This window comes from Homo sapiens, chromosome 1, assembly GCF_000001405.40.
Source record: "Homo sapiens chromosome 1, GRCh38.p14 Primary Assembly".
Lineage (NCBI taxonomy): Eukaryota > Metazoa > Chordata > Mammalia > Primates > Hominidae > Homo > Homo sapiens.
The window spans coordinates 192,244,437-192,268,729 of record NC_000001.11 but is presented as its reverse complement, the minus strand read 5'-3'; the positions used below and the strand labels follow the sequence as shown (position 1 = coordinate 192,268,729).

The 24,293-nt window shown below is 35.9% G+C and overlaps 1 pseudogene, besides 1 other annotated feature; it reads left to right on the top strand.

The window, feature by feature from the left end:
• Nucleotides 16,928–17,429: an enhancer, noted in NCBI's record as "H3K27ac hESC enhancer chr1:192220431-192220932 (GRCh37/hg19 assembly coordinates)". NCBI's record gives its function as "activates a minimal SCP1, AML or CMV promoter by ChIP-STARR-seq in primed H9 embryonic stem cells {active_cell/tissue: H9 hESC(primed)}" and the evidence as "EXISTENCE:reporter gene assay evidence [ECO:0000049][PMID:30033119]".
• Nucleotides 21,235–22,221, top strand: ABCE1P2 (ABCE1 pseudogene 2; annotated as a pseudogene).
• Nucleotides 22,222–24,293: the final 2,072 nt, after the last annotated feature.

Genomic DNA, 24,293 nt, shown 5'->3' with positions numbered 1-24,293 from the left:
CACTTAACCTTCACCGTGTGAAAGGCTTAAGTGAATTTCAACATTTGTATTAAAATCCATACCATCTATCTCAGACACTAAGTAGCTAGAAGCTGCAGTTTGCTCCCTGACACAAATAGCAACCACTGTTGGCTGGTGTGGTAATGTTGAAGACTCCTTTGCCTTAACTTTAAGGGCACCTTTATTTTTGGAGAAATTAAAAATTAGAAAAGGACCAGACATGGAGGTTCATACCTAAAATGTCAAGCACTTTGAGGGGCCAGGGTGGGAAGATCGCTTGAGTCCAGGAGTTTGAGACCAGCCTGGGCAACATGGTGAAATCCCTTCTCTAAAACATAAAAAAATTAGCTAGGCATAGTGGCGCATGCCTGTGGTCCCAGCTACTTGGGAGGCTGAGGTGGGAGGATCACTTGAGCCTGAGAGTCATGACACTGTATCCCAGCCTGGGCAACAGAGATGGAACCCGTCTCGAAAAGAAAACGTTTGTTCTCAGCATCCTATATAGAATTTTGCATTTATTCTTTTTCTTTAAGTCCTACTTACTCCAATCTTAGAGAAACATTACAATAATGGTACTTATAGCAATATATTAAAAACTTATGTGCTACTTACCAAAAATGCATTTATATTTTTAAAAAAGATTGTAGTGAAAAGCTGGGTGTGGTGGCTCATGCCCATAATCTCAGCACTTTAGGAGGCTCAGGTGGGTGGATCACCTGAGATCAGGAGTTTGAGACTATCCTGCCCAACATGGTGAAACCTCATCTCTACTAAAAATATTTAAAAATTAGCCACGCGTGGTGGTGACTATCTGTAATCCTAGATACTCAGGAGGCTGAGGCAGGAGAATCACTTGAACCTGGGAGGTGGAGGTTGCAGTGAGCCAAGATTGCGCCACTGCACTCCAGCCTGGGCGACAAGAGTGAAACTCTGTCTCAAAAAAAAAAAAAAAAAAAAAAATTGTAGTGAAAGGATAATGGTTATATACAGATAAATGAATAATTAATATAACATTTTTATTTAGTATGCAAGTTATTTTAGGGAAAAACAGGTAATTAGTTAATTCAAAAAACATTTATAGATCACTTATTTTAATGCTAGGTATTTGCTGGGTTTTGAGGTTAAAAAAAAAAATTAAAAGAAGTCCCTTCACATCCAAGAGCTCAGAGACTAACAACATCTATAGGTAAATAATTATACAATTGAGAACTTACATGATGGAAGAAAGTATGGAGAGTAGAGATAACTCCTTTACCAAAACACAGGTCTTATACAGAATTAATCTAGCAGAAAGCCTGTACTAAATTGTAAATGATAAGAAGGAGAGTCAGAAATGGTGAATAATACAATAGAGTGACTTGGAGGTAGAGAACTGCAGTGCTAGGTGTAAGCTGAGAACAGAGGCACTGGAATCATGTTTCATATACAAGAAGTGATATTTGGGGTCCTCTTCTAAACCTTATTTCAAATATGTAGCTGATGATAGAGAACCCGACCTGGGATTGTGAATGGAAGAAAAGAACAGGAGGAAGAGCCTAAGAAGACATTGAAGAGAACTGCCCAGGCCTCTGCCAGAACAGCAGGTTTTATGGAAGGTGTTGATCCCAAATTCAACTCAGTATCTAGGTTGTTTTTAGAAAGGCTGCTCCACTCTAGAGTGGAAAATAGGTAGGATAGTTGTGGGGGTAGAGCATGAAGAAGAACCCATAAAATCAAATCAAGTGGACAACTGCTTATATAAGACTGACCCATCCCGGAGGACCTTGCAGATCTAGATGGCAGGACCTTCAATGGGGAAGTTCCACAAGCCTTTCCTTGAATTCACAAGCTTTTCTGCATTGGGTTTTATATCTGCACTCTGACAAATACGTGCTCACTGATACAGCTCTGAAAGATCAAGGAAGGAGGTCACAGCCCAGAGTACTTGGAAACAGCAGTATTGAAATCATTATCTGGGCTGATGAAGCCCAGTTCTGTCGAGACAGCTTCACTCAGACTTCCTAATGGAAGCTGAAGTTCAGTTTAAGTCAGCACTTCCACCAGAAACTTTTGGGGTTTTTAAAAAACTCTTTAGTAAAAAAAAAAAAAAAAAAAAAAAAATCTCTGTGACTTCGCCAAAATTTTTTTTGTCTGCTTGACTCAAAGAGGTTGATTTTTTTTTACTAATGGAGAAATTTTAAACAGAGAAAAATAGAAAAATTGAGCAAAGGAAAGGGAGGCACAGGGATTTTCAATTATTTTCTCATTTGTTTTAGTGCCATCATTACAAAGAAAATAAAACCATTAATCAAAAAGTGATGTTTATTTTTAAATATCCTTTCCAATCACCAAGACTATATGATATTTTCAAAGTGTGACATGCACTTTCATAACTCCTTACCTTTTTATTCCATTCTCTAAGCCTATTTTCATGTATATATATATATATATATATATATATATATATAAATGTATTCTTCAACACTCAACTGAAAAGACCGCTCATTTATTTGGCTTTCTCTGAGATGACTTATTCAGGCAGGTTTAAATGCACCCTAACATTGCCTGTAAATTTATTGTGCCACTTATTTTTAGTTTTATTATTATTATAATTAGATTTTTGCATTTCTCTTTTCTGTTGTAGATTAAACTACTTTAATAGCTTACATTTATTGAACTCTCACCAGGTGTATTGTTTCTTTTAATTCTTATGAGACTCCTACGTGGGAGATACTATTAATAGCCCCATTTTACAGATGATGAAAATGAGACACAGAAGGATTATATTCAAGGTCAGTCTAGTAGGTTGCTGAGCATGTTTCTAAACTCAAAAAGTCTAACCACAGAAACTATTGTATCCACTAAGCTCCAAATGACAGATTTTTTTTATAAAAATTAAAATTTACCTCTATGTAAGGACAGAAAAGCAAAAGACCAATGTTTTAGGTATAACATAGCAAAAGAGAGGACAATCTGCTAATGCTGAAATATAATCATGCATTTCCTCCATTGTTATCAAAATGCAGCAGCACTGTTAACTAGCCATCTGTATCAATGACACTTAGACACAGAACATGCTTTATGGTAATTTTTCTTCTGTACTTGCCTTTTGTCACTTTCCTTTAAAGAAGGTCACAAATATACTTTAAAAACAGTCTCAATGCAAGGAATATAACTTTTAGAAAATGAATTTCTTAATCAAAATATTTTCTGGGAATTTACATTAAATTCAAGGTATATTCATTTAAGGAAGCATCCTAATATGTGTCTTCTGAGACCTAAAATATGAGGTTTTTTTTCCCTAATTACCTCTATGTGGATGAAAAGAAGCTAATCTTTAGTTATTTTTAATTGCACTATTTTCTGGATTTTTTAACATTGCATTGTGCAGTATATCTTTTTATTGTATTATGTGTGTTGTTTCTGAGGAATGGATTTATTCTATTTCATTCATTTTTAATTTGTGCTCTGGAAGAAGTAACACACAGAAAAATGCTAGGCATTTTATAAGACATGTAAAGTGAATGTGAAGGTTAGTACTAAAAAATAAGGAAGATTAAAGACTAAAAAGTCTGTTTAATTCTATATAGAAACATCTACTTTCACTTGAAAGAGAAAAATGTTCCCCCAGAAGTAGCAGCTATTTGTAGAATAATGTCACCCTTATTGCCTGATGTTCTTAGTGTCAGAACTAAGGTATAGTTTTTTTCCATGGTGTTAGATGGTCATGATTAACACGTATATTTAGTAATTACCTTTAAGAAATACACATGGATTAGGAAATGGATTAAAAATGGATTATATTAGTGCAAAAGTTGCTTCTCTTTAAAAAGTTTGTAACTGAAGTTAAGGTTGTGGTCATCAAACAGCAACATAAGAAAGGCCTCTATGCTTCCACTTTTGATTGGGGTAACTGAAGAAAAAATAATTATATATCAAAAGAAGATCTCATATATACACACACACACACACACACACACACACACACACACATATATATATATATATAGAGAGAGAGAGAGACTATATAAAGCATTACATAATTTCTTTAATTTTTAATATTTCTGTTATTAATCTTCCTGTGAGTAAAGAAGGAAAACTGCTAAAGGTGAGAATATGCTCAGAATATTCTGAACCAAATACCAAGGTATTCAAACAAATCTACTAGAGTACACTTTTATGCTCAAGTCTCTAATTTGGTTATGTTATGGCTTGCCATTTTTGGTGCTGAAGATCAATTACTTTTCAGAAAAAATTAATACAGAAAATAATGTTTAATGATATACAAATATCTAGGGGCTATTAGATAGGATGAGAAAAGTATTGATTGAGATGAAGACAAAATAGAATTTGATATCAAACAGACATATATTAGGTATGAATAGTTTTGGTTTCAGAATTCTGACACTAAATTAGAGGCTGTATGTTTAAATTTAATGTTGAACAAGACACAAATAAGAATGGATTTTATGGAAAAAGAAATGAGTCATGATGTTTTGTCAGCAATATATTGCTTGTAGGAAAAAAATAGACAAATGATTAAAAAAGGGGATCTGTAATGTGCTTCTGAAAATTGCTATTGCAATAAGCAATTGAAGACATGAAATGGCAATTATAGAGTTTACATTTCAAGTTAAATTCCTACATTATCTGTGTTATTTTAAATGTAGAATCTATTATGTCTTCAGAACACTTAAAAATGTTCTGTGACACCAGTAAGTACTCTTCTATTTCCTAAGCTTAGAACTTGGCTTCTGTAACATTAATAGCTCTATTTGTCCTCTTACTCCTCACGGTGAATTATTGTATTTTTATTTTGACATAAAATGTATCCTGTTACATGTTAAACTTTGGTTCCTCTTGAGTGTGTTCTTCCCTTTTTCTTTATCACATAAAATTGACTAGCAATGTCCTGTGAAATACAATCACTCTATGAACATTTATCCAAAGGGCAACTCTGAATTGTTGCAACTTACATTCATTTTTCCAGACCTCCTGTACTAGCAAAGGCCACACTTTCTCTCCAGAACTGCCAATTCTTCCTGGAGTCAACTGGTCTCACTGGTGCTGGTCACATGAAACGTGAATCACTCCCTCCCACATAGATTCTCTTTGTTTTCTTGATGTCTATCCAATTCACATTTTTAAAAATGCAGTTGGTAAAACACGTCAGACTTAATCTAGCCCTCTATTCCTGGAGTAATGGTTCATTAATAGATACATACACATTTAGACACACAAATCACTTATATCCAGGCAGCCTACAGAACTGTATCTAGAGGTTCATCTCAGTCATTTCTTCCTGTCTTTGTGTATATAATTTTTAGTAAATGATGTAGGTGTTTGCATATATCTCAGCACTTTACAACAACACAGTAAGAATGCAAAATCATAGCTCAAGTTATTTTTCATATTCTTGTTGCTTATATCTATTATCCTTAACACCAATCATAGGGATCTATATTCTATTAGAACGAGTGACCTAATGTTTGAGAGATAAGCAGAACAGGCAGATAGCAGTGAAAGAAGGAGGAAGTAAATAAAATTTGAGAGTGGGCATGGCAAAGTTTTGATTTTAAATTTTTAAAAATATTTTTACAATGCACACATAAGTTTAAGATGTCTTGTGAAAGTCCACATTGAATTCTGGAAGCACTTGGGAATTCATACATACAAATTATTCTGATAACACCTGGATCAAACTGGTTTGCCCATCACAATTATAACACAGGCATATATTACTGTAACATATTTTTATTTCCCCATCTTAGATGTTTTATATAGATCATTAAAACTAATCTCAAATTGTTAATTCAACAAATGACATTTCTTGTTGGTTTTGGTAGCATACATAGTTCTCAATTTGCAAATAGTCAACATTTGAAAACCAACAGTATTTTTTCCTTTTTTTATTTGCCTGTTTATTATTTTCTATCTCTATACCTGACTCCCATTCTTCCCAAACACAGGCAACCATTTTTGTTGTGCTTATTGCATATTTAGTATTTAATTATGTTCTTTCTCAAATGATTATTTTGTCTGCAGACATTTAGTATACATAACTGGAATTATATGACAAAATATAGTTTCCATTTTAAAATAATCATTTTATTTCTGAGGTCATTCACATTCCTAGGTTTTTGTCTGTTATGTTGCTTCCAACTGCCTTACAGTACTCATGGCCTCTACCAGAATTTGCCCATCTATTCGCCCCATCTCTGTCAACAATTCTTCAGTGAACAGCTGTTTGCATGTCCTGCAGACTACCTTTGTGTTGTGTTATTAGGAGGAGAATTGTGTATATTTTATTTAACTAAATAAACCAAGACTGTTCTCCAGTGTGATCTAATCAATTTTATCTTTCCATAGCAAGGAATGAGGGATTCTACATCCTCTACACTTAGAATTATACAACTTTCTAAAAGAAGTAATACAGCATTATTGCTTTAATTAGCATTTCTTTGACCACTATACTTTTGAGCACCTCATCTTCTATTTGTCAATGTTTTTGGTTCTCTGCTGGAAAGTGACTGATGTGTCCTTTATTTTTGTTTTGAGATTGCAGGCTTTTTCTGATTGATTTCCAGGTTTATTTTTATACTTTTTGCTTCTTGGCTTGTGTTTTGAAATTTTTACTTAATAAGTGATTTTTTTGGTCATAATAATTTTTCAACATTTCTTCTACTGAACATTTCTTCTAAATTTGGCTTTTAATCCACCACCTAGGCTTCCCATTTTTTGTGTGGTCTTAGGTAGGCATCAAGTTTTATATTCATCCATGTAGTGAACCAGTTTTCCCACACCAAACAATTCTTTTCTTCTAGATTTGTAGTGTACCCTGTTCATAGAGTGTTTGTATATATATATGTCTGTGAACTAACCATTTTATTCTATTGGTCCATTAGTCTTTTTTTGCACCAATGGCTTTTCAATAAGTCAGAGCAGGCTATGTTATGCTGTGGTAATAAACAACTTGAAAACATCAGTGGCTTAGAACGAGAGGCTTACTTTTCACTCATGCTGCAGATCCACTGAAGGTCTGCAAGATACTCCAATTGTCTTAGTAACTCAGGAACAGTGGTTTTTACTGAAACCTGAAACTGTGTGAGGCCATTCACAAGCCAGAGGGAAGAACAGACTAGAAGTTTTCATGCTGATAATTAAATGAATGCTTCAGTCCAGAAGTGACATATCTAAGTTTGGCTTATAATTTATCATCCAAAACAAAAATCCAGGAAGTTACATCCTAACATGTGATCACAGCATGAAAATAAATGTTCAGTAAACAGCATTAATGACTGCTATAACTTAATATAATAATAGCATCTCTTTCTTTCTTGTAGGTTAACTTATATGTTTGAATACATTTTTATGCCATATACATTTTAAACTAAATCACTCAAAAACACAATTAAAGTTTTGAATTGGATTTCTTGGAATTTATAAATTGATTTAGGTTGGTTTACTAAACCAACAAAGTGTCTTTGAGATTGATCAATATTGCTAGATTTAGCTGTAGTTCTTTAAGGCTGCATATTATTCCCTTGTGTGAGGAATTTACAATACAGTCATCATTTGACTTTGGATGAATATTCGATGGGTTATTTCTTGTTTGAAGCTATTACAGCTAATACTGGAATTGACACTAGTACATGCCTTTTGGTGCCCATGTGCATGAATTTTGGTTAGGAACATATCTAGGAGTAGAATTGTTTCAAGCCCAGTTTAGTCAATCAAAGGCAGTTGTCTTCTTCTTACAATTTCAGGGAAAGGATTATGACTAATCCATCTCTGGTCAGGATTGTAGATTTTGTCCAATTATTTATAGTTAGGATGTCGATTATCCTGCCCACTTAATGGACTACGGAAAGTTACATTTCAATGAATAGGCACAGGCATGGAAAGAAATTGAATTATATTTTCACTGTACTGACCACAAATTAACCTAATAACCTTTTCTTCTTTAGAATTCCTTATTCTAGTTGACCATACGACCATCAAAACAGTCCTATAATCATAAACTTTATCCAATAGAATCCTTTATCCAGTAGGATGGCTTATCCAATAGGATGCTTTCCCTTACAATGTGTAACGAATCAATTATATTTTCTGAACCACTGCCCCCTATCTCATCTCTATTTCTTTTCCCTCCAGCCATTTGTTTAATTCAGATATTTGACTCAAAATTGTGGTAGCCTCCTATGTCATGCTTACCCTTCAATTTTCTTGAAATTATGTTTTCTATAATTTCACCTGATATATTTTGGATGTCTTCTTCAAATCTCATGTTGAGAAGTAACCCCCAGTGTTGGTGCTAGGGCCTGTTGGGCAGTGATTGGATTCACTGGGGTAGATTTCTCATGAATCGTTTAACACCATCCCCTTAGTGCTGTCCTAGCAATAGTGAGTGAGTTCTCATGAGACATGGTTGTTTAAAAAAGTATGTCACCTTGCCCTTTTCTCTCTTATCACCTTCTGCCATGAGTAAGTTTCCTGAGGCCCTCACCAGAAGCAGATGCCAGCACCATGCTTCCTGTAAAGCCTACAAAACTGTAAGCCAATTAAACATCTTATCTTATAAATTACTCAGCCTTAGGTATTTCTTTATAACAGTACAAAAATGGCCTAACAAACACACCACTCAAATAATATTTTAATTAATCTTTCTAATATTCATATCCTGGCATGCTTAAAACTCTCCCATGGATATATAATTACAGGTTAGAGTCCAATTTTTTTAACATTATAATGTAAGAATTTCTATAATATAACTCATACCTCTTCATCTCATTTGGGTCTGCTTACCTCCCTCAGTTTAAACCTGCCTGCATTTACTTCCTCCTCTTTCCCCTTTCCTCTATGTGTTTGTATTGTGCAATGTGGTTATTCCACTAAAATGCTTGTACAGTGTTTCATTTAGTTGTTTTCATATTTGTTTTATGTTTACATGTTCAATTCCTTAATGGCTGGGTTTGGACTTGTTTATTCATCTTTTTATCTCCAACACCTAGTACAGTGCTTGATAATAAAAGGCCTTAGCTGAATTAATGAAATCTGGGACTAAAACTAAAAGGTTATTTCTGCTATTCAACAACTAATATTATTTCTTATCAAGTTTTCTAAATTACATATTTTTAATATACCTCCTCTTCATTCTCTCGCCCGCAAACATGGGACTACTAAGTCCAGTTGTTCTTGCTTTCTTAAACTCTTAATGAGGTCAGTTAATTGTCTCTGAATATTTCTAAATTGCTCTCCAAACTGGTTTCTCTGATTACAGTCTTACCTTCAATCCCCTCTGTCTCCAATTCCAATTCATCACTTATACTATTGCTAATGTAATTATCCTAAATTCAATACTGATATTTTCAATAACCAGCTCAAAGTTTATTACTTGCTCTCATTGCCATTAGGCATGCTACAGCATATGAAACCTTTCTCCTACCTGCTGTTCTCTCTCTTAAATTCCTCTCCAGCTGCAGTATAATCCTGTGTTTACCCAAATGGGTAAGATCAATATATGTTTATGTGTCTACGTTCAGTAGCTTTTTTTCTGTTTGTGTCCTCTCATTTGCCACCCCGTGAATTGTTTAGGATTCTCTTTATACTCTATTACCTTAATCAGATTTTTATTAAAGCAATCATGATACTTATTACCCTTATTAGTTTATAAATATACACAAACCTATATTAAGTGTCTTGAAGATATTAAATGATATTTGTCTTATGTCACCTAGCATGTAGTTAGCTTTCAGCAAATCTTTTATTGCATTTATGAATGCATGAAAGAATAAATCATGATCTTATGTGACTGGCAATCTTCACTTACAGATTTCTATAATGTTCAGTTCTGGGGACTTAGAACTATTGAGACTTAAGAATTATTCTAATTTTCAAGGCCCTGTTGAAATTTTAGAATACATTGAGAGTTTTATCTGCCTAGATGAAACTTCTGTAATTGATAAGTTGGTCTAACTGTGTAGTAGAAAGGCTTTAGCATAGAATTGGAGAAAGATTCTATGGCCATCATGGCAAGGGTTAAGGAGAACCCTTGTGTTAGGTACAGTATCAGGTGTTCTTCCTGTAAATCACTTGGGATTTGACATATAGACAATTCAGACATTTCTCATCTAGTACTAATGCACATGTAAAAATAGTGTGGTCATATATCTACATAAAAGCATAGATACACTATTTTTCACATAATGTAGTTGGAAAAGTAAACATTTCTAAGATATGTTTCAAATTAGTTTCACTGGATGACCCTAAAGCCAGGTGTTCTAGCAGCACTGTAGATATTTTGCATTTAGGAAAATACAATATAAACGAACTGTTAAATATAGCTTTTTCCAAAGGATACAAGACCCTTAGGAGCCATTGATTTGCAAATTACTTAGTGACATAATCATAACATTTCTAACATTTAGAAATCAATTATGCAAAGGATATAACCCTATAGTTATTTCCCTGTCTTGTGTGAGGTATGGAGATAATTTTTCTATTATATGCAATATACAACTTAAAAATACAGTCCAAGCAACCCATTAGTATATAGTTTTGTTAAAGACTCTTTTTAAGAATAATTTTGAGGGTTTCTCTGTATCTCTTATTAGAATTGCAGTGACCTCATGATGAGAAAAATGGCTAAAAATCTGAGAGGAAAAAAAAGAATTTAAAGTGACTATGACATATTTGAGAAATAATAGTAATATTTTGTGTTACTTTCATTCTGCAATATAGTGCTTGATCTGACTGCTAAAAACAGAACAAAGGAAATTCATTTAAATTTGAGCAAGAGTAATTTGTATCAAGCATAAGAAAATTCTTTCTGGTTCAAAGAGAAGTTCGACATAAAAGTGGATTTTGATGAAAGCTGTGTTTTCCCATTCAATGAAAATAATTAAATACGCACAAACTATGATTTGGACCAAAAAGTTGAGATACAGATAATGGAGTAAAATTGATGACCAAACTGTAAATGACTGTTTCTTCATTCTCCCGCTTTAAGTATCAATGTTTTATCTTCATTATATACGTAAAAGAATTGACTGTAGGCAAGTAGTGAATATATATTATGTCTATATGCAATGATTATTTTCAGAAAATCATTGTAGTTGCAGTTTATTATAAACTAGAACTGTTTGGTGAAGTCATTATGTAAAATCTCCACACTACCCACATGATAGGGACAAACTAATCAGTCTTCTCTCTTGCGAAGTGTATTAGTCCATTTTGCATTGCTACAAATAATACTTAAACTGGATATATACATGTGTGTATATATACACATATATGTATGTGTGTATATACATATATACATATACATGTACATGTGTCTATACATATACACATATACATATACATGTGTATATGCATATACATATTTATGTGTGTGTATATATACACACACATATATATGTGTATGTGTATATATATATACACACACATATGTATATATATACACACACACACATATGTATATATCCAGAAAAGAATATATATATGTGTATATATATATATGGAAAGAGAGAGAGAGTTTATTATTTGGCTCACGGTTCTGCAGGCTGTACAAGCCTGGCAGCAGCAGCTGCTCAGTTTCTGATAAGGCTTCAGGAAGCTTTTACTCATGATGGAAGGCAAAGTGGGAGCAGGTGTGTAATGTGGCAAGTGAGGCAAAAATGTGAGGCATTCCACAGACCTACTCTCCAGTAAAACCAGCAAAGCTGGAGAAAACTGTTCTAGAAATAACTATATTCTCTTAAAATAGTTCTAAGAGCATAGAGCAAATTAAGAAATGTTTATTCAAGACAATCCACTAAATGTGATAAGAGCAGCAACGATCTGTGGCATTGGAATAAACATCCACTTCCTCCTTTCACCCTTCCTGCTCAGCCTGATGGAAGCTCCACTTGACAGGGTGTGGCTGAAAAGATGGGCTTCTCTCTATCTCCCAATTATGGGTTAGCATACCTCATCGGAAGGAACAGGCCAACAGCATTTATTATGCCCTCTAACTTCCGAGTTGAAAAAGTTAAATTCCTCGTAAGTATTCTCTGGAAGTTAGGGGCTCCCTTCCTACACCAATCGCCTACCTGTAGAATGGAGGTTCTGTCCTAGGCATAATAGGATGAGAATCCTGTGTTCCTGAGTATATTCATCTCAACTTTCTTATAGGGAAGAAGTTCCATCCCGACGAGGCAATCCACGAAAGACAAAAAATTTTGCTACACCAACTTTCGAGAGCAGTGGCTTAGAATTTTGATCAGGGGGTAAAACAATCACTAAAAAATAGCTCTGAATCTTTCCCTAGAGCTGACTTTATTTGAAACAGAGTGTGAGGAAGTTCAAGCCTAAGGGTGCTCTCAAATGTTCTTTAAGAACAACAAGTTAAATTATACGCCAGATAGTTCAACAGATAAAAAGAAAATTAGTCAGTTGAGAAGAGATCTCCTGGGATCAGGACAAACCTTAAATTGGTGTCAAAAATTACCCCTGCATAAATGTAGTTGAATCATACTGCTGAGAAATTTGTTATCAGACACTATTGAAAATAATAAAGCGACCAGCCAGTAAACAGCAGAGACTAACTTTTAGCTGTGATGCCAAATGAGGTAGAGAGTTTAACAGAGAAATTAAGAAAAGAAAGATCAAAAGACATCCCTGCTACTACTACTGTAATCACAGATGGCCATATACAAGCCCAATAATATGCCCTATAAGGAGTGACACCAAAGGCTTCATAGCATGGGAGAAATAGACCTCACTGAAAGATGATAACTAAGTCACAAAACAAATACTAGTAAACAACCACAAACCCAGAGAGGAGAGAGGCAAATCAGTATTCAGAATTGCTGCAATATATGACTTAAACTGTACAGTTTTCAACAAAAAATTATGAGACAAGCAAAAAGACAGAAAATTGTGAAACATATAGGAAAAAGCTGGCTACAGAAACTATGAGAAGGATGATATGACAAATTCAACAGAAGAAGATTTCAAAATAACCACTCTTAACATGTTCAGAGGACTAATGGAACTATGCTTAGAGAAAGAAGGGTATGAAGGCAATGTCTTATTAAAAAATAATATAAATTAGGAACTAGAAAATTTTAAAAAAGCAAGAACTAAGTTGAAATTATGAGTTTAAAAGTACAATACATGAAATAAGAAAATTCATCAAAGGGTTAAACAGAAGATGTGAATTGACGAGAGAAAGAATTAGTGAACTTGAAAATAGATCAAGAGATTATGCAATCTAAATAACAGAGGGAAAATAAAATTAACCGACCTTAAGAGAAATGTGAGACTCATTAAATGAATTAATACATGCATAATGGAAATACTCGAAGAAAAATAGGAACAAAGAGCAAAAAAATTTTTTAAAAACTCCTAACATTTCCCAGATTTGCTGAAAAACATTTTACATATCCAAGAATTTCAACAAACTCCAAGTAGGATATATGCAAAGAGATCCACAGTTAGAAATATGAGTAAAAAGGCTCAAAGTCAAAACAAAGAGAAAATGTTAAAGGCATCAAGAGAAAAACAACTTACATAGTGGACCACAATAAAATTTACAGTTGAGTCATTATAAGAAACAATGGCCAGAATGCAGTGAGATGGCAGTCAAACTTCATAAAAAATATTCTCAACCAAGGATCTTATATCTAGAAAAACTATCTTTCCAAATTCAGGCCAAACCAAAGACATTCCTAGATAAATAAAACTGGGATAATTAATGTCTAACAAATCCACTTTAAAAATTACTATTTTTTGAAAACTGAAAGCAAATAAACCCATATGCAAATTCATATCTACTCAAAAGCCAGACCATCAGTATAGATAATTATGTAATTGCAAAAGATAATATAAATACATATTTCCTTTTTCATCTCTCAGCTGATATAAAAAAATTGTATATAACAGTATATATATACTTTGTTTTCAGCTTATAACATGTAGAAATATAATATATTTAATAAAAGCAACACCAAGTGGGTGGGTGGGAGCAAAGTTGTATTGGAGTAGAAAAATGATACCATATGGTAACTTGAATCCATAGGAAAAAATAAGAAGAACAGAAATGATATAGAAAACATACAGCATGGAATACTATGCAGCCATATAAAAGGATGAATTCATGTCCTTTGCAGGGACATGAATGAAGCTGGGAACCATCATTCTCAGCAAACTAACACAGGAACAGAAAACCAAACACCACATATTCTCACTCATAAGTGGGAGGTGAACAATGAGAACACATAGACACAGGGAGGGGAACATCACAAACTGGGGCCTGTCAGTGTGTGGGAGGCTAGGGGAGGGATAGCATTAGGAGAAATACCTAATGTAGATGACGGGTTGATGGGTGCAATAAACTACCATGGCACGTGTATATCTATGTAACAAACCTGCATGTTCTGTACATGTATCCCAGAACTTAAAGTATAATTTAAAAAAATCTATAGACTGAATGTGGTGGCTCATGCCTGTAATCCCAGCTGTCGGGGAGGCTAAGGTAGGTGAATCACTGTGCCCAGGAGTTCAAGACCAGCCTGGCAACATGTTAAAACCAAATCTCTACAAAAATACAAAAATTAGCCTGGCATGGTGGCACGTGCCTGTGGTCCCAGCTACTCAGGAGGCTGAAGTGGGGGGACTGCTTGAGCCCATGAGGCAGAGGTTGCCGTTAGTCAAGGTTGTGCCACTGCACTGTGTGCACTCACTCTGTTGCACAGCTTGGGCAACAGAGTGAGACTTTGTCTCAAGGGGAAAAAAAAAAAAACAACTAAAGAGGAATGGGAAAACAAAAATACTTGAGACATATGGAAAGCAAAAAGTAAAAGAACTAAATATGTAGTTGCTCTTTTTCAGCTTTTAACATATACAGTAATTATGTAAAGTAATAACTATAACAATGTATTATTAGATTTGTAACATTATAAATGCAATATGTACAACAATAATGGCACAAAAAGAGGGATGAGAGAATAGAGCTACATAAAAATATTGTTTCTATATCTCACTGGAATTAAGTTAGTATAAATCTGAAGTAAAATCAGATAACATACATATTGTAAATTCTAAAGCAACCACTAAAAAGGCAACTCAAAACTATCAAGTGAATAAATAATTAGAAAACTTAAAATGTTTGACTAGAAAATATTCCCTTAATGCAAAAGAAACAAGTAAAGAGGGATGGGGAACAAAAATACATGAGACATATGGAAAACAAAAAGTAAAATGGCAGGCATAAGTCCAACTATATCATTAATGATATTAGATGTGAATAGAATAAACAATCATAAGGCAGAAGATATTAGACTGGATTTAGAAAACATTATTCATATATGCTATCTACAAGAGATGCCCTAAAGATTCAAAGATACGAATAGATTCAAAGCAAAAGGACAGAAAGCAATACATTTTGCAAACAGCAGCCCTAAGAAAGATGGAGTGGCTACAGTAATATCAGGAAAAAAAAAAAAAAAAGAAACACAACTAGACTTTAAAACAAAAAAAAAGTTACTAAAGATAAAGAGGAGTAGAAGTGCCAATTCATGAGTAAGCTATAACAGTTATAAGCATATATGCACCTAAAAACAAAGCTGCAAAATATGGACAGCAACAAGTGCAAAAAAATAGACAATTTAATAATAATAGTGGAAATTTAATGCTATACTTTCAATAATGGACAGAACAACTAGGCAGAAAATCCACCAGGAAATAGAAGACTTGAGCAACACTACACACGTACTAGATCTAACGGACATTTCTAGAACACTCCGCCCATGATGGTGAAATACACATTCTTCTCAAGTGTACATGAAAAATTCCCCACCATATGTTAGGCCATAAACAAGTTTCAATAATTAAAAGTACTAAAATCATACAAAGTATGTTCTCTCATTATAATGTAGTAAAACTGGAGAATATTAACAGAAAGAAATTTAAGAAAACTCTAATATATGGAAACTATATAACACACTATTAAATAACCAATGGGTCAAAGAAGATATCAAAAGAGGAATTAGAAAATATTTTGAGCTGAGTGAAAATGAAAACACTATGAATTAAAATTAATAAAATGCAGGCAAGGTAGTGCTTAGAGAAAAATGTATAGCTGTAAATAACTACATCAAAAAGGAAAACAGGGTGTGGGGCCAAGATGGCCAACTAGAAACAGTGGCATTCGGAGGCTCCCATCAAAAAGAACCATAATTAGCATGTGAATCCTTCACTGGCAACCAAGGTATCTGGGTTCTCTCATCAGAACTGACTAGGCGGCTGGAGTGATCCACAGAGAGGAAGGAAGAACAGAGTGGTGTTGCGGCCCACCTGAGAGCCACATGGGGCAGGGGAACCCCCACCCCTCCAGCCAAAGGAGGTGGTGAGTGAGTGTGCTACCCAGCTGAGGAAACCATGCTTTTTCCATGGATCTGTGCAACTCATGGATTGGAAGATCCCACTCATGAACCCACACCACTGGTGCCTAGGATCTCAACCCCAGAGCTGCAAAGATTCTCAACAGCCTCTTAGATGAAAGCTGCTTAAGTCTGCCTAGCTCCTGGGTGAGGGGCAACCAGCACCACAGCTGCTGCTGCCTGCTGTGGAAGCCCTTTGAGCCCCTTGTGTGAGGGCAGCAGCCAGCACTGGGACTCACAACTGCCTAACAGGCTAAGCTCCCTGGGTAGGGGAAGGGCGGCATCCATCTCTATAGCTCCAGTCTGTGCTTTTCCCCTGCTGCAGCCAGGGAGGCTGGACAGCTTGGTCCCAAGAGGTGTCCCCCACAGCCCAACACACCAGCTGTGACAGACTGCAGCCAGAGTGCCTCTCCAGAACTGACCCTGACCCATTATTCCTCACTGGGTGGGGCTTCCCAGCAGGAACTCCAACAACTTCAGCTAGGGTCTCAGGGACAGAACCTGGATTTCCCTGAGCCTGAGCCCACAGGGGGAGGGGTGGCCACAGTATCTGTGGACAGGCGGACTTAGCCTTTCCTCCTGGTAGTTCTGAGAAACCTGGGCAGCCCAGGCAAGTAGCTTTTCCCCCAGCAAACCACACCCCCTCCACCAAGGGACAATCAAAGTGCTTCATGAAACTGGTCCTGTTCCCTGTGCCACCCAACTGGGTGAGATCCTCCAACTGGGGTTGTCAGACACCCTGTACAAGAGCAATCCTACTGGCATCAGGTTGGTGCCCCTCGAGGTCAGAGATCCCAGAAGAAGGAGCAGGCATGCATCTTTGCTGTTCTCCAGTCTCTTTGAGTGAAATCTCCAGGCGAGGGAGCAAACCAGATGAATAGGGCCTGAAGTGAACCCCTAGCAAACTGTAGCAGCCCTACGGAAGAGGGACTTGACCAATGAAGAAAAACAAACAAACAGAAAGCAACAACAACAATAAAATAGTCCCCACAAAAACCACATCCACGGTTCAGCAGCCTCAAAGATCAAAACTAGACAAACTCATGAAGATGAGAAAGAATCAACAACAACAACAACAATGCTGAAAACCCAAAAGGCCAGAGTGCCCCTTCTCCTCCTAATGATCACAACACCTCTCCAGCAAGGGTGCAGAACTGGACAGAGGATGAGATGGACGAATTGACAGAAGTAGGCTTCAGAAAATGGGTAATAAAAAACACCACTGAGCTAAAGGACCATGTTCTAACCCAATGCAAAGAAGCTAAGAACCTTGATAAAAGGTTAAAGGAGCTGCTAACTAGAATAATCAGTTTAGAGAGGAACATAAATGACCTAAAGGAGCTGAAAAACACAGCACGAGAACTTTGTGAAGCATACACAATTATCAATAGCCAAATCGACCAAGCAAAAGAAAGGATATCAGAGTTTGAAGACCACCTTGCTGAAATAAGGCATGCAGATAAGATTAGAGAAAAAAGAATGAAAAGGAATGAACAAAGCCTCCAAGAAATATGGGACTTTGTAAAAAAAAACAAAAACAAATCTATAATTCACTGGAGTACCTGAAGGAGACAGGGAGAACAGAAACAAGCTGGAAAACACACTTCAGGACATTAACCAGGAGAACTTCCCCAACCTAGCAAGGCAGGCCAACATGCACATTTAGGAAATACAGAGAACACCAATAAGATACTCCATGAGAAGCTCAACCCCAAGACACATAATCGTCAGATTCTCCAAGGTTGAAATGAAGGAAAAAATATTAGGGGCAGCCAGAGAGAAAGGTCAGGTCACCTACAAAGGGAAGCTGATCAGACTCACAGTGGACCTCTCAACAGAAACTCCACAAGCCAGAAGATATTGAGGGCCAATATTCAACATTCTTTTTTTTTTTCCAGCAAAAAGAGGAGCTTTATTTTCAGGCTCATATAACTGGGGAGAAGGTCTTCTCCAGCAACTGCCCTACCCGTAGACCCCTCAGTCTTCCATTTATGGGGTTTTGGCTAAGACTTGATAAATGGTGCTATACAGGTCACTTAGAGTATAGGCATGGAACAATACATATTTGCATTGTTTTGTTTTTTAAAGGCATTCAGATTACTTGCAGACAATAGCCACCTAGCATGTGAGGACAATTATCCTGAAATCACACTGCACCAATTAACAACACAGGTCCCAGAAAAGGGCTTGAAACAGTTGGTCAGTTCTGGAACTATTGAATCCCTTAAATATCTCTCTAGAATTCTTATCTGCATGGTATTAATTTGTTTAGCAGAGCTTTCTTCACAGGCAGATAAAAAGATTTTACACATAATGTCTGAATGACTCTGGGTTCTTAGTGGGATCTGATTCAGTAAGATATTCATTGGTGTACATGTTCTTTCAGGTATTTTTCATGTAGGTTCTTTACAAACTTGCAGAATTCATTCCACGGAAGGCAGGTTCTGCATTAGGCTTAATTCTAAGAAATTTGAACTTCCTGTGTTTATAAGTAAACACTGGGAATTTGAGATGACAGGGCTCTTTGCCAGTCTCCTGATGAATGACTTTGAGAAGGTGAAAGGATCCAAATATAAGATAAGGCCAGGAGAACTGGATTGTGTTTTCAAGTTGCCTACACTTTGTCCATTTGTGACATTTAACTGTAAAGTTTATTCACAGTTAAGTAAGTAATCAACAGCTCACAGTAACTTGTTGGTCCTGGATTTGAAATGTTCAATTAAGAAAATAAAGTCTTGTCAGATTTTAATGTCTCCTCTTTCATTCTTAATGCAGTTTCAAAAGAACAGAATTTTTTCTTTGAGCTATAAACTTTATTTATTTGTATTTTTTTCAGAAACTTTAAGAGCAAATCCTTTATTTGCCATTTTATTTCATTTTTTATTATATTTTAAGTTCTAGGGTACATGTGCACAACTTGCAGCTTTGTTACATATGTATACATGTGCCATGTTGGTGTGCTGCACCCATTAACTCGTCATTTACATTAGGTATATCTCCTAGTGCTATCTCTCCCCCCTCCCCCCACCCCACGACAGGCCCCGGTGTGTGATGCTCCCCACCCTGTGTCCAAGTGTTCTCATTGTTCAATTCCTACCTATGAGTGAGAGCATGTGGTGTTTGGTTTTCTGTCCTTGCGATAGTTTGCTGAGAATGATCATTTCCAGCTTCATCCATGTCCCTACAAAGGACATGAACTCATCCTTTTCTATGGCTGCATAGTATTCCGTGGTGTATGTGTGCCACATTTTCTTAATCCAGTCCATCATTGAGGGACATTTGGGTTGGCTCCAAGTCTTTGCTATTGTGAATAGTGCTGCAATAAACATATGTGTGAATGTGTCTTTATAGCAGCATGATTTATACTCCTTTCAACATTCTTAAAGAAAAGCATTGTGAACCCAGAATTTCATATCCAGCCAAACTAAGCTTCATAAGCAAAGGAGAAATAAAATCCTTTTCATACAAGCAAATGCTGAGGGATTTTGTTACTACCAGGCCTGCCCTGCAAGAGCCTCTGAAAGAAGTACTAAATATGGAAAGGAAAACCTGGTACAGCCACTGCAAAAGCACACCAAAATATAAAGACCAATGACACCATGAAGAAACTGCATCCACTAGTGTGCAAAATAACCAGATAGCATCATGATGACAGGAAAAAATTCACAAATAACAATACTAATCTTAAATGTAAATGGGCTAAATGCTTCAATTAAAAGACACAGACTGGCAAATTGGATAAAGGGTCAAGACCCTTTGGTGTGCTATATTCAGGAGACCCATCTCATGAGCAAAGACACACATAGGCTCAAAATAAAGGGATGGAGGAAAATTTACCAAGAAAATGGAAAGCAAAAAAAAAAAAGCAGGCGTTTCAATCCTAGTCTCTGACAAAACAGACTTTAAACCAACAAAGATCAAAAAAGGCAAAGAAGGTATTAAATAATGGTAAAGAAAACAAGAAGAGCTAACTATCCTAAATATATATGCACCCAATACAGGAGCACCCAGATTCATAAAACAAGTTCTTAGAGACCTACAAAGAGACTTAGACTCTCACACAATAATAATGGGAGATTTTAACACCCCACTGTCAACATTTGACAGATCAATGAGACAGAAAATCAACAAGGATTTTCAGGACTAGAACTCAGCTCTGGAGTGGACCTAATAGACATACACAGAACTCTCCACCACAAATCAACAGAATATACATTCTTCTCAGTGCCATATGATGCTTATTCTAAAATCAATCATATGATTGGAAGTAAAACACTCCTCAGAAAATGCAAAAGAACTGAAATTGTAATAAACAGTCTATCAGGCCCCAGTGCAATCTAATTGGAACTCAGGATTAAGAAACTCACTCAACCACTTTAAAAACAAGTGATGCATCTCTGAATCTCAAGTTTTCTGTTGGAACATAGCCATCCAAAAAAATGTTTATGGCTTCTCTTACACTAAAAGGCATAGTGACAACTCCATAGGCGCTTGGTACACCATATAAACAGCAGATGAAGTCGGAGAGATAGTCTAATACACTTAGATCATGTTCCACCACAATGATATATCTATCTGGATTTATTAGAGATCGTATAGTAATAGCAGGCTTTAAACGCTGCTTGACATCTAGGTAACCAGAAGCCTCATCAAACATGAAAATATCAGCTTTCTGTATGCAAATGACAGCACAAGCAAATCTCTGCAACTCTCCTCCTGAAAGATCTTCAACATTTCGTTCTTTCAGGTGGATTAAATCAAGCTGCTGACATACAACTGCCTGTGTCTTTGTTTCATCTTTTCGGTCCAAAATAGATCCCACTGTCCCCTTGCAAATGAAGAGAAGTTAAAAAGATGTGTATGTATAAATATCCAGGAATGAAGAAAAAAATGGGAGAGTTTGAGCTAGCAATTGTAGCTAGAGAGTTTACAGATTCTGAAATTATGGTGATGCTGGGGGAAAATGGAACAGGTAAAACGACATTTATCAGAATGCTTGCTGGAAGACTTAAACCTGAGGAAGGAGGAGAAGTACCAGTTCTAAATGTCAGTTATAAGCCACAGAAAATTAGTCGCAAATCAACTGGAAGTGTTCGCCAGTTACTACATGAAAAGATAAGAGATGCTTATACTCACCCACAATTTGTGACCGATGTAATGAAGCCTCTGCAAATTGAAAACATCACTGATCAAGAGGTGCAGACATTATCTGGTGGTGAACTACAGTGAGTAGCTTTAGCCCTTTGTTTGGGCAAACCTGCTGATGTCTATTTAATTGATGAACCATCTGCATGTTTGGATTCTGAGCAAAGACTGATGGCAGCTCGAGTTGTCAAACGTTTCATACTCCAAGAAAAAAGACAGCCTTTGTTGTGGAACATGACTTCATCATGGCCACCTATCTAGCGGATCGCGTCATCGTTTTTGATGGTGTTCCATCTAAGAACACAGTTGCAAACAGTCCTCAAACCCTTTTGGCTGGCATGAATAAATTTTTATCTCAGCTTGAAATTACATTCAGAAGAGATCCAAACAACTATAGGCCACGAATAAACAAACTTAATTCAATTAAGGATGTAGAACAAAAGAAGAGTGGAAACCACTTTTTCTTGGATGATTAGACTGACTCTGAGAATATTGATAAGCCATATATTAAGAGGAGTATTTACTAGAATTTTGTGTCATATAAAACTTGAATCAGGATTTTATGCCCCACATACTCTGGAACTTGAAGTATAATTTACTTAATATAACATAAAAGCCAGTTGGGTTCTAAATTGTAGTTGAAACACAGAAAATGCCACTTTTCTGTTCCTGAAGAGGCCCTTTTGTGCATAATATTCTAAAATGAAGACATTTCAAGCCATACAAATTACCTCCAAGTTTTCATGATGTATGGGAAGATTTTCAGTAGGTGTATTATATTCACGGTACCAAATGCTGACCAGTGTTGCTCCATTTTTTAAATCTTGAAAAGGGTTTCTGTACTTACCTGGTTTGCCAAGTATGCCAGTGTGATGAAACTGCCCTTATTTTAAAAGCCAGTCAAAGATTCCACTGATTGACATTTGATAAATAAACATCAGGATTATGTTTAAAAAAAAAAAAAAGAAACTCACTCAAAACCACACAATTACATGTAAATTGAACAACCTGCTCCTGAATGACTCCTGGGTAAATAATGAAATTAAGGCAGAAATCAAGAAGTTCTTTGAAAACAATGAGAACAAGGAGAAAACATACTGGAATCTCTGGGACACAGCTAAAGCAGTGTTAAGAGGGACATTTATAGCACTACATTCCCACATCAGAAAGGTAGAAATAATTCAAATCAGCACGCTAACATCACAATTAAGAGAGCTAGAGATGCAAGAGCAAACTAATCCAAAAGCTATCGGAAGACAAGGAACCACTAAGATCAGAGTACAATGGAAGGAGATAGAGACATGAAAAACCCTCCAAAAAGTCATTGAATCCGGGAGCTGTTTTTTAGAAAAAATTAACAAAATAGATAGACTGCTAGCTAGACTAATAAAGAAGAAAAGAGAGAAAAATCAAATAGACACAATAACAAATGATAAAGGGAATATCACCTCTGACCCCACAGAAAGGCAAACTACTATCAGAAAATACTACAAATGTCTCTACACAAATAAGCTAGAAAATCTAGAAGAAATTGATAAATTCCTGCACACATACACCCTCCCAAGACTAAACAAAAGAAGTTGAATCCCTGAATACACCAATAACAAGTTCTGAAATTGAGGCAGTAATTAATAGCCTACCAACCAAAAAACGTCCAGGAGCAGATGGATTAACAGCTGAATTCTACCAGAGGTACAAAGAGGAGCTGGTACCATTCCTTCTGAAACTATTCCAAACAATTGAAAAGAGGCACTCCTCCCTAACTCATTTTATGAAGCCAGCATCATTCTGATACCAAAGCCTGGTAGAGAAACAACAAAAAAAGAAACCTTCAGGCCAATATCCCTGATGAACATCGACACAAAAATCCTCAATAAAATAATGGCAAACCAAGTCCAGCAGCACATCAAAAAACTTATCCACCATGATCAAATCGACTTCATCCCTGGGATGCAAGGCTGGTTCTACATATGCAAATCAGTAAATGTAATCCATCACATTAAACAGAACCAAAGACAAAAACCACATGATTATCTCAACAGATGCAGAAAAGGCCTTTGACAAAATTCAACATAACTTCATGTTAAAAACTCTCAATAAACTAGGTGTTGATGGAACATATCTCAAAATAATAAGATTTATGACAAACCCATAGTCAATATTATATTGAATGGGCAAAAGCTGGAAGCATTCCTTTTGAAAACCAGAACAAGACAAAGATGCCCTCTCTCACCACTCATTTTCAAATTGTATTGGAAGTTCTGGCCAGGACAATTATTGTTTTACCTAAAATATTGTTACTTTGAAAAAAAACCCACTTTAATTATTGAGAGTGGTTGTGTTAATCAGGGTCAATTGAGTTATGGGATAAGAAAACTATTGGCAATCTACTGCTATATAACTAATCACCCCAGAATTTAGTGATGTAAAACAACAATCTGTTATTTTCCTCATGAGATGCATTTTAGGTAAGAGTCACAGAGGATATTTTGTCTCTAATTCATGGGATATCATTTACAGTGGATTGAGAGTGAAAAAGTCTTTCAGGATGATTTACTTGCATGGCAGACAAATTGTTGCTGGCTTTTATTTGGGAGACTGGGTCTTAAGTTTATTTTCTTCTGTCATTTATACATTATGCTTTGTCTTCTGCTCACCATAGTTACTTAATTCAAAGAAAAAGTGTAAATTATCACAAGAGGAGAAAGCAGAAGTCCATAGCATTTTAAAAATTTAACCTCAAGA